Source organism: Homo sapiens, chromosome 19 (genome assembly GCF_000001405.40).
Source record: "Homo sapiens chromosome 19, GRCh38.p14 Primary Assembly".
NCBI lineage: Eukaryota > Metazoa > Chordata > Mammalia > Primates > Hominidae > Homo > Homo sapiens.
The window spans coordinates 24,020,731-24,032,858 of NC_000019.10; positions in this window are offsets into that span (position 1 = coordinate 24,020,731).

A 12,128-nucleotide genomic window follows, 5' to 3' on the forward strand; every position below is an offset into this window, starting at 1 on the left:
TTACAGGTGCCTGCCTCCACACCCTGGTAATTTTTTTGTATTTTTACTAGAGATGGTGTTTCACCATGTTAGCCAGGCTGGTCTGGAACCCCTGACCTCAAGTGATCCACCCTGATCACCTTGGCCTCCTGAAGTGCTAGGATTACAGGTGTGAGCCACCACGCCCGGCTCCCAAAATATTATTATTTTAATATGTAAGCAATATTTATTAATAAAGTATATATACTTAGAACTAAATTTTTGAAACCAACCCTGTATTTTACCTTTTTAGCACATTGCAGTTCAAAGCAGGAACATTTCAGGCACCTAGTAGCCACACATGGCCAATAGCTGCCACATTGAAGTACAGCTTCAATGTCAGTGGAGGTGAAGGGCTTGAACATCCCTTTTCTGCCACAGGGGAGGTCTCTACCTACCAACAACTTCTTCAGTTAAAAAGGTGAAACAGATAATGGCCATAGAAAGGGCAGAAGGTAGGAAGAGTAAAATAACCACAGGTGGACCACTGCTGGCCACCTGTTGTCCACCTTTCTTCCAGTGAACAAAAAATTCTCAGCCAAAGGAGAAGAAAACTCTGTGTTTTCAGATCTGTCCATAGTCTTGATGTCCAATGTTTAGATATGTAGAAAATAGGTTAAGGCAAACTTATTTTGCTATTTGGCCTTGGCCCTAATTGTCAGGCTGCGGTTATCTGTTTTCTCCTATGGTGTGGGTGACTATGTGAGTATAAGGACCAATTACATGCATACATGTCTGCATGTATTTTTTAATTACTCAACGTCATTTTGCAAGACATTCAACTTTAAATTAGGGGAAAAAATCAATACTTTTAGGGTGCACACTGTTAGAAGGTAACTAATAACCAATCTGTCATTGAATCCTGGCATCCTATCTGCACTGAGTGCATGTATTAGTTAGCTACCGCAGCATAACAAACCATCCAAAACTTTTTAGCTCATAATTGAGACGGTCAGCCATTTAGGCTGGGCTCAGTGGGACCATTCTTTTGGTCTCAGCTGAGCTCCTTCAGACATGTATCATCAGCTGCTTATTGACTAGGCAGCTGTGCTTCTGAAGGTGAGCATCTGCTTCTGGGGCTATCAACAGGGGCACCTTGCTTCTCTTCCTCATGTTATCTTATCCTCCATCTGGCTAACATGGGCGTTACTCATGGAGATGGCACATTCTGAAAGAAAAACAGGAGCATTTGAAATCTTTTGAGCCTAAGCCCCAAACTAGCCCACTGTCATAGTCACAGATTTCCATTGCCCTGAGCAAATAAGGCCAGCCAGATATATGGTTTGGAAACCAGATTCTGTACTTCAATGGGAAGAGCTGTAAAAGCATTGGCAAATGAATATAAAAGAGATAAAAAGCACCAGGTGCGGTGGCCAGGCCTATAATCCCAGTATTTTGGGAGACTGGGGCAGGGGGACAGATTACCTGAGGTCAGGAGTTCGAGAGCAGCCTAACCAACATAGAGAAATCCCGTCTCTACTAAAAATACAAACTTAGCTGGGCATGGTGGTGCATGCCTGTAATCCCAGCTACTCAGGAAGCTCAGGCAGGAGAATCACTTGAACCTTGGAGGCAGAGGTTGCAGTGAGCCAAGATTGCACCATTGCACTCCAGCCTGGGCAAAAAGAGCAAGACTCCATCTCAAAAAAATAAAATAAAATAAAATAAAAAATTGCAGCCAGACACGGTGGCTCACACCTGCAATCCCAGCACTTTGGGAGGCCGAGGTGGGTGGATTACTAGAGGTTAGGAGTTCAAGATCAGCCTGACCAACATGGTAAAACCCCGTCTCTGCTAAAAATGCAAAAATTGGCTGGGTGTGGTGGTAGCTGCCTGTAATCCCAGCTACTCAGGAGGCTGAGGCAGGAGAATCACTTGAACCCAGAAGGTAGAGGTTGCAGTGAGCCAAGATCATGCCTCTGCACTCCAGCCTGGGCAACAAGAGTGAAACTAAGTCTCAAAATAAAAAATTGCTGCAATTTTTGAAATCACTTTCATTCTGCCTTTTGCCTATGTGGTTTATACAACTATTTCACCTCAAGAAACTTGTTCAGCCAGGCGCAGGGGCTCACGCCTGTAATCCCAGCACTTTGGGAGGCTGAGGTGGGCAGATCACAAGGTCAGAAGACCCAGACCAGCCTGGCCAATATAGTGAAACCCCGTCTCTACTAAAAATACAGCAAAATTAGCCAGGCATGGTGGCCCATGCCTGTAATCCCAGCTACTCGAGAGGCTGAGGCAGGAGAATTGCCTGAACCCAGGAGGCAGAGGTTGCAGTAAGCTGAGTTCACGCCACTGCACTCCAGCCTGGATGACAGAGCGAGACTCTGGATTTAAAAATAAAACAAAACAACAACAACAAAAAACAGCCGGGTGTGGTGGCTCATGAGGTGGGTGAATCATGAGGTCAAGAGATCGAGACCATCCAGGCCAACATGGTGAAATGCCATCTCTACTAAAAATACAAAAATTAGCTGGGCATGGTGGCATGTGCCTGTAGTCCCAGCTACTCAGGAGGCTGAGGCAGGAGAATTGCTTGAACCTGGAAGACAGATGTTGCAGTGACCTGATATCACACCACTGCACTCTGGCCCGAGTGACAGAGCAAGACTCTGTCACCAAAAAAAAAAAAAAAAAAAAATTGACCGGGCACAGTGGCTCATGCCTGTAATCCTAGCACTTTGGGAGACCAAGGCAGGCAGAATGTCAGAGCTCAGGAGTTCAAGACAACCTTGGGCAACACAGGGAAACCCTGTCCCTACTAAAATAGAAAAAATTAGCTGGGCATGGTGGTGCATGCCTGTAGTCTCAGCTACTAGGGAGGCTGAGGCAGGAGACTTGCTTGATCCCAGGAGACGGAGGCTTGAACCCAGGAGGCAGAGGTTCAGTGAGCCGAGATCACACCACTGTACTCCAGCCTGGGAGACAGAGTGAGACTCTGCCTCAAAAAAAAAAAAAAAAAAATGCAGAAACATTTTGAAAGGACAAAATAATTTGGGAAAATAGGTGAGGGATGAGTTTAGAAAATTAAAACCCAAAAACACATTATTCATTTTAACGATAGAAAAAATTTGAGGAAATTTTTTTTTTTTTTAAATAAAGTCTCACTCTGTAGCCCAGGCTGAAGTGCAGTGGTGCAATCTTGGCCCACTGCAACCTCCACCTCCCGGGTTCAAGCGATTCTTCTGCCTCAGCCTCCAGAATAGCTGGGATTACAGGTGCACGCCACCACGTCCTGCTAATTTTTGTATTTTTAGTAGAGACAGGGTTTCACCATATTGGCCAGGCCAGTCTTGAACTCCTGACCTCATCATCCACCCGCCTCGTCCTCACATAGTGCTGGGATTACAGGCATGAGCCACCATGCCCGGCCTGGAAAAATTTTTAAATAAAAAAAAAACTTTAGAGAAATTAAATTCAACAGAGTTTAACTGAACAAAGAGTGATTTGCAAATAGAGTAGCATGTGAATCCAGAGTAGGCTCAGAGAGATTTCAGCATAGCCACGTGGTGGACAAAGACTTATGGACAGACAAAGCAAAGTGACATACAGAAAATGGAAGTGAGGTACAGAAACAGCCAAATTCATTACAACTTGAGGTTTGCCTTATTTGAACATGGTTTGAACAGTTGACATCCTTTTATTGACCAAACCACAGTGGTTGGTACAAGAATGGGTACAGTCTATTTACATATCCAGTTAGGTTTCAGTTCATTGTGTAAAATAAACGAACAAACAAACAAAAACTATTGACTAAAATTAAACGGGAAAAGGGGCAGCTTTAGGGTATAATTAATTTAACAATTTCTCCCTAGGGTCATAGACCAAAACTTTTTTTTTTTTTTTTTTGAGACAGAGTTTTGCTCTGTCACCAGGCTGGAGTGCAGCGGCGCTATCTCAGCTCACTGCAACCTCCACCTCACAGGTTCAAGCAATTCTCCTGCCTCAGACACCCAAGTAGCTGGGACTATACAGGTGTGCCCAGCTAATTTTTGTATTTTTAGTAGAGATGGGGTTTCACCGTGCTGCCCAGGCTGGTCTCAAACTCCTGACCTCAAGTGATCTGCTTCCTTCGGCCTCCCAATGTAGTGGGATTACAGGCATGAGCCACCACACCCGGCTGAGATAGACCAAAATTTAGACATTGATATCACTGTGTCATCATAAAAAATGAACTTATTTAGTCTCAGATCTCACTGTGAAATATCAGAACTGTGGGTTTTATAAAGTGGAAACAAGAACTTCAGGTTATTATTTTATTATTATTATTTTTAAAGGATTAGACTACAGGGGATCTCTTTGTGTTGAAATCTGCTATTTATAGAAGAAAACAAAAACTTGTTTGTATTTTCTCGTGTTTTTTTGAGATGGAGTTCCTCACTCTTGTTGCCCAGGCTGGAGTTTAGTGGCGTGATCTCCTCTCACTGCAACCTCTGCCTCCCAGGTTAAAGCAATTCTCCTGCCTCAGCCTCAGGAGTAGCTGGGATTAGAGGCATGTGTCACCATGCCCAACTAATTCTGTATTTTGTTTTTTCTTTTTTTCTTTCTTTTTTTTTTTTTTTTGAGACAAAGTTTCACTCTTGTTGCCCAGGTTGGAGTGCAATGGCATGATCTCGGCCCACTGCAACCTCCACCTCCCAGGTTCAAGTGATTCTCCTGCCTCAGCCTCCCGAGTAGCTGGGATTACAGGCGCTCGCCACCACGCCCAGCTAATTTTTGTATTTTCAGTAGAGATGGAGTTTCTCCAAGTTGGTCAGGCTGGTCTCAAACTCCCAACCTCAGGTGATCCACCCACCTCAGCCTCCCAAAGTGCTGGGATTACAGGCGTGAGCCACTGCACCCGGCCTTAATTCTGTATTTTTAGTAGAGACAGGGATTTCTCCATGTTGGTCAGACTGGTCTCAGACTCCTGACCTCAGGTGATCCGCTCGCCTCGGCCTCCCAAAGAAAAACTGGTCTGTTTTAAGATCTACCTATTTTCTTAAATTTTAGGTTTGATAAGCTCACTTTTAGCATGAGTGACTCATTTTGTTTTGTTTTGGTCTGTTTGAGATGAGTGCACATGCTCAGTCCACATGATGGCCATAAATAATTTTGTTTAAAAAATTCACCCCAGGCCGGGCGCAGTGGCTCAGGTCTGTAATCACAGCACTTTGGGAGGCCGAGGCTGGCAGATCAAAAGCTCAGGAGATCAAGACCAGCCTGGCCAATATGGTGAAACCCCGTCTCTAGTAAAAATATGAAAATTAGCCAGGCATGGTGGCACGCACCTGTAGTCCCAGCTACTCGGGAGGCTGAGGCAGAAGACTCTCTTGAACCTGGGAGGCGGAGGTTGCAGTGAGCCCAGATCATGCCACTGCACTCCAGTCTGGGCAATGCAGCGAGACTCCATCTCAAAAAAAAAAAAGAAAGAAAAAAAAATCACCCCATTTGTTTAAGTTCTTACATAGGTCATGGTGTGACCAAAACTCAGGGCCTTAGTGCCACTCTGTTTCCATTATTTTTTTTATTTTTTATTTTTTTATAGGTGGAATCTTGCTTTGTTGTCCAGGCTGGAGTGCAGTGGCACTATCTCAGCTCACTGCTACCTCCGCCTCCCGGGTTCAAGCAATTCTCCTGCTTCAGCCTTCCGAGTAGCTGGGACTACAGGCCCGTGCCACCATGCGTGGCTAATTTTTTGTATTTTTAGTACAGACAGGTTCTCGCCGTGTTACCCAGGATGGTCTCCATCTCCTGACCTCATGATCCACCCACCTTGGCCTCCCAAAGTGCTGGGATTACAGGCCTGAGCCACCGCGCCAGGCCAATTTTTGTATTTTCAGTAGAGATGGGGTTTCACTATGTTGGCCAGGCTTGTCTCAAACTCCTGACCTCATGATCCACCCACCTCAGTTTCCCAAAGTGCTGAGGTTACAGGCGTTAGCCACCGCGCCTGGCCTATTTTGGGTTTTTGTCCTTATCATGTCATTCATAGGTTATGGTGTCTTCATAGTCACATACGTCTTTGAGTTTCTGTCATTCTGTTTTACAAGAGACCATTTGACATTCTAGAAATGACTGCATGCAAACATTTATAACTTTTGAGAGAATACAGTGAAGTAGGGAGATATTACTATTTTAACTATCAGGAAGATGATACCAAGAGTTCGAAACATGCTTTTTAGCCAGGGTCCCCATGAACAACCAACTAAAATTAAATAGGTCAAATAGTTAGCTAGATAAGTGGTCTACTCATTTCAACCAAGCACACTGTTCATTAATCCTCTACAACTGCATCTCTGTGGATGCAGAGTAGGCTCAGGGAGCCTAATGGATGTATTTCTCCAGGTGCAACTATCAGTGTTAGCAAGTTCACAGGTACTTCTCTGTTCATCCAATAAGTAATTAAAAGAAATAATATTATTTAGCACAACTTCAGCAAGTACATTTAAAATCTATTGTGTAATCATAGCCTTTACAGTATAATCTTCTATAGGGCCCTATTAGGGGGGATGCATTTCTAACCATTGCCTCATTTACTCTACGCCATGGAAAGAAAGACCTAACAAATGATGGCCATTCAGAAAAGTAAGGGCATCCTGGCAATGCTGCTTAACTTATTGTGAAAAAGTTGTCCTTAACTTATGAAGTAAGTTAAGAGCAGTGGACCAATATTCTGTTTCTGATATTGTGAGGGAACAAATATCCCTTAAAAATTTCTCACCCACACTGGCCCTTCATCTTTTATCTATCAAGGTGTAAGTTTTTTCACACATAATGTTGGCTACAAAATTCTCTACATTTGAGTATACCCCATAAGTGCACACAAGAGACCCCTTTCTTTATTTCTATTGTTTGTAGAGCCATAAAAAACTGTGAAATAAGTGTGTCATGATAGCAGAGAAGTATGATCTTGTTCTGAGTGAGTGTGTCTCACCATGAAACAAGCAAAAAAAATACTGCTGTTATTTTGAGACAGTGAGTTAGCATTTTGTCCAAATATGTACTATGTAATTTTTTATTGATATGTAACATGCATAGAGAAATACATGCACAAATTCTTCATTCAAGTAAAGCTCAGTGAATTATGAAGAATACACTTGTGTAATCAGATAATAAAACTAGGCTGGACGCAGTGGCTCATGTCTGTAATTCAGTACATTGGGAAGCCAATGCGGGAGGATTGCTTGAGCTCAGGAGTTCAAGACCAGCCTACCCAACATGGCAAGGCTCTGTCTCTATTTTGAAAAAATACCAAAAAAAAAAAAAAAAAAGATCCAGGCAGGCTGGTTGCATGCCTGTTGTCCCAGCTACTGGGGAGGCTGAGGTGGGAGGATCACTTAAGACTAAAAGTTTGAAGCTGCAGTAACCCAGCATTCAGCCACTGGACTCCAGCTTGGGTGACAGAGTGAGACCTGTATGTGTAAACACACACACACACACACACACACACACACACACACGTGCACATGGTGGGGGATGTGAAAAAGAGAAAGTGTGGCTCCTGCAATTCAGTGAGACCTGGTTCTCCATCTTGGGAACTGCCCATCCACACTGAAACCACAACCTAGCACATGCCAATTAGCACACTAAACCTGCTGAGATACCACCGTTTACCCTTAAAAAAAATTGAAGTATTTCACCTAAAAGAAGGGAAAAAGAAAATGATTTCACATCTAAAGCCTTTGTTTCCTTTATAAAACAACTGCCCCTTGTCATTCGAGTTGTCCAGAGGTGTCTGACAACACTAACACACTTATGGAATCAGCCAGGAAAAATGGGCCTCTCAGGTGACAAACAGGCACAATGGTAACTAAAGGCAATCCATTCTCATCTCTACATGATGCCCCCAACTCATGAAGTGGTGTTAACTGTGTGAACCATACTCATCAGAGGAAAGTATGTTCAGGGCAACACAATCATGAGGCTGCAAATCAAACTGGGGGCGGGAAGCACGTAGGAGGTTTCCATGGCCAAGACACTGGTGGCTATCCTTGGGTGTCATTTAAAAATTTCAGGTGAAAAATCCTTTTCTTCCAGTTGGCTCAGGAAAACTAACAGACATTACTATTGGAATTCATTTTACTTTTTAGAATTTCTAAGACATAAATCATGCTTCAAACACTCCAAAAGACATTCAGCTATACCTGAGGCTGAGGACCTGCCTCCTCCTCCATGTTAGGGCCCTGACAGCAGGCAAAGAGAAGGAGCACAGGGGCCGGGTGTGGTGGCTCATGGCTGTAATCTCAGCACTTTGGGAGGCTGAAGCAGGCATATCACCTGAGGTCAGGAGTTTGAGACGAGCCTGGTCAACAAGGCGAAACCCCTTCTCTACTAAAAACACAAAAATTAGCCATGTGTGGTGGTGAGCACCTGTAATCCCAGCTACTTGGGAGGCTGAGGCAGGAGAATCATTTGAACCCAGGAAGTAGAAGTTGCAGTGAGCTGAAATCGTGCCATTGCACTCCAGCCAGGGCAACAAGAATGAAACTGCCATCTGAAAAACAAAACAAAACAAACAACAACAACAATAGCAACAACAAAAACAGAGAAGGAGCACAGGCAGGTGGGGACAGAGAACAGCCCGGGTCTATAGGGATCCCCAACCACCCCCAGAGCCGGTGTCTGTAGGAGGGACTGTGTGGCAAGAATCAGGTAGGGAGCTGGGCTTCATGGAGAGGTTACCACCACTTCTGCACCTTTAACTTTTATGATTCCACTGTGGTTCTCCCCAGGTCTCCCACCCATCCTACCCTCACTCCCTCATTGTGTGTTAGGCAGGTCTGGTTAAAATGGGGAGAATAATACATTCAGATTGTAGCCTTCAAGGTATTCCCATCTGGGGTACAGGGAGTAGAGAGGCAAGTCAAAGTCTATGGTGGTGCTTACTTCTGGGCCTGAGGGCAGGAAGGCCAGGGCTGGGCACATGGATATCTGGGGAAACACCACTGCTAATTCCTTCTCCCCACCCGGAGCTACAATGAGGCCAGGACAATCACAATTAATAAAACCACTGCAGCTCACATCCTGCATAAAACTAAAGTGTATCCCAACCCCCAGTCCTACCACAGATCTTCAACTTCCTATCCCAGAACACAGGAAGCCCTCCATCTTTTTGACCTAAAGCCTGGACTTTAAGCCAGGTTGGGCCTGGGGGTAGTGGCAGCAAAAGCAGCAGCCACAGTGTCAAATATACCAATGACTTGAGAAATCTCATCTGCACGTCATTCACTCAGAACAGACCTGGAGTTGTATACAAGTTAAGAAGGGCAGATCTATATACTCATGGGCATGGACACATTCCACACTTGCTGGGGAGAATGAGAGGCACCTGTTTCCCAGCTGCAGGCTGATGTCCACATACACCATTCACGTGTTTACATTTAGGCCTCTGTATTGTGTATTCAGTGAGCCAGTGCAAATACATATTTGGGGGGCACCATTTAGTGCAACACCACTCCCCACTTGTTCTGGGGGACAGTCAGGAGGGATCTGGTCAGCTCCTAATTCCCTAGGACAAAGGTGCCTCCCCCTTTCCAGCACTCATATCCAGCAGCGCCATCTCAGGAATTTTTTTTTTTAAACATGAACAGCATGAGGAAGCAGGCATGGTACGACAGGCTCAGCCCCAGCCCAGATAGCATTCACATCTTCCTGGATGGGGGTTGATGCCCATCACTCACCTGCTCTTTAGCACCGCCTTGTGTTGGTTACTCAGGGCCTGGGGAGAGGTGGGGGGGATTGTAGATCCATGGTGGGAACCATCTCACACCCAGAGTTCACCTGGCCACAGGCCAGCAAGCAAGTCCAAGTGCACAGCTCTCGACCCTGAGCCTCGGCACCTCCGGCTGCAATTTCTATTTATATATCAGGATTTTAAAAACCAAAAATAAACAAACAAACACAAAAACAGCCACTTTGATTGAGGAGAAAGTGGGAGCCTAAAGCAGCTGACCCTCAAACATCTCCGCCAAGCCCCAGGCCAGGCCATCTGAACACTCCAAGGCCACATGATAGTTACAGAGGATGACAGTTTCCACAGGTACTTGTCAAGCACTGGGCTAGCTTCTCACAGAGTCTCAGAATGCCTCCTCGCCAATACCCTGTGAGGGGAGGCCTTTCCTCACTAGGGCACAAGAGGTTCCTAAGCTCTTCCCAGGAAATGGTTAACAAAGTGTGGAGCTAGGGGAAAGCCCAGTCAGAACAAGTGACTAGCCAGGGTCTTCCTAGACTCCATCCCTTCCTCCACATGGGGCCCAGAGGTGTTGCGAGCAGCCTCCTGACCCCCTCCATCCCACTCTCTCCTCAATCAAAATGGCTGTTTTTGTGTTTACTCGTTTATTTATGGGATTTTAAAAACCTGATTTTTTTTTTTTTTTTGAGACAGAGTTTTGCTCTTGTTACCCAGGCTGGAGTGCAGTGGCACCATCTCAGTTCACTGCAACCTCTGTCTCCTGAGCTCAAGCAATTCTCCTGCCTCAGCCTCCTGAATAGCTGGGATTATAGGCATGTGCCACCATGCCCAGCCAATTTTGTATTTTTAGTAGAGAAGGAGTTTCTCCATGTTGGCCAGGCTGGCCTCGAACTCCCGACCTCAGGTGATCTGCCCGCCTCGGCCTCCCAAAGTGCTGAGATTGCAGGCATGAGCCACCGCTTCTGGCCAAAAAAAAACCCCTGATATTTTATTTATAGTACTTTCAGGCTTGTATGTATGTATTTGTATAGGCTTTATTGGAAGGAAGAGGGCTTAAGACAGTAACATTTTTAAAAGGTCTCAGTGGGGAATAGACTTCCATGGCACAAATGATGATGTTGACCTCCTTCTGTTGCCTTTGGGCAAAGTATAAATAGTGTGAGAATTGGCATGTGCTGGGTTGTGGTTTCAGTGTGGGAGGGCAGTTCCTTAAGATGGAAACTGAGCTGTAGGAGCCACACTCACCTTTTATCACATTCCCCACCATGGTCTTTCACTTTTCTTCTGTGCTTGAATTTCTTTCAACATACATATTATTTTGAGTATATATATATATATATATATATATATATATATATATAGACACACACACATATATATGTGTGTCTGTGGGTGTATGTATATATATGTTTGTGTGTGTGTGTACACATACAGGTCTCACTCTGTCACCCAGGCTGGAGTGCAGTGGCCGAATGATGGGTCACTTCAGCCTCAATCTCCAGTGATCCTTCCACCTCAGCCTCTCAAGTAGCTGGGACTGTAGGCATGCAACATCACACAAGGCCAATTTTTAAAATTATTCTAGAAACTGAGCCTCACTATGCTGCCCAGACTGGTCTTGAGCTCCTGGGCTTAAGCAATCATTCCACCATGGCTTTCCAAAGTGTTTGGATTACAGGTGTTTGCCATCAAACCCAGCCAAAAACATTTTTAAAAGAACCATTACAACCGAATTATGAGCTATGGTTGTACCACTGCACTCCAGCCTGGGCACCAGAGTGAGACCTTGTCTCCAAAAACAAAGCAAAACAAAAAAAACTTATGACCAAATTAAATTTCTGAGGTTGTGTCATCTGTGTCCCCTTTCTGCCCTGTAAGCTATCATTGTTAAATATAATGGCTATTGAGAAAACTGTTAGATATTAAGAAATTCCTATATATCCTCTAAGTGAGAATAAGGTATTCTGATGTGGCCCAATATTTCCTAACCTCTACCTCCAGGGTCTAAACTAGCAAATCAAATCAGGACAACCGACAAAGGACTGTTGGCCATTTTCAAATGGAAGATGAAATACCCTGTTAGTGAGAGTAATCCAGTAATTTTAAAAAAGAGAAGTCAGACTGAGATGCAGTGCAGTCAGGGCATGATTACCCTGGAATAGCCACTTCACACGGAACGATAGAGGAGCCTGTCTAAGATGAACAAATTTGGGTAACATAATTCTTGCTTAACCATTCTCAGCCTCTGCTGCCCCCGACCCCAGCCCCATTCCAAATGGACATCCCACGATATGGTCAGCAGTGTGGTACAGCATGGTTAGAAAGGGGCTCAGGGATGGGATGAAGATCTTTCCTGCATTATCAAAATGATTGAAAAGTTGTTAAAAAAAAATGTCCAAATGGGCGGGTCGCGGTGGCTCACGCCTGTAATCTCAGC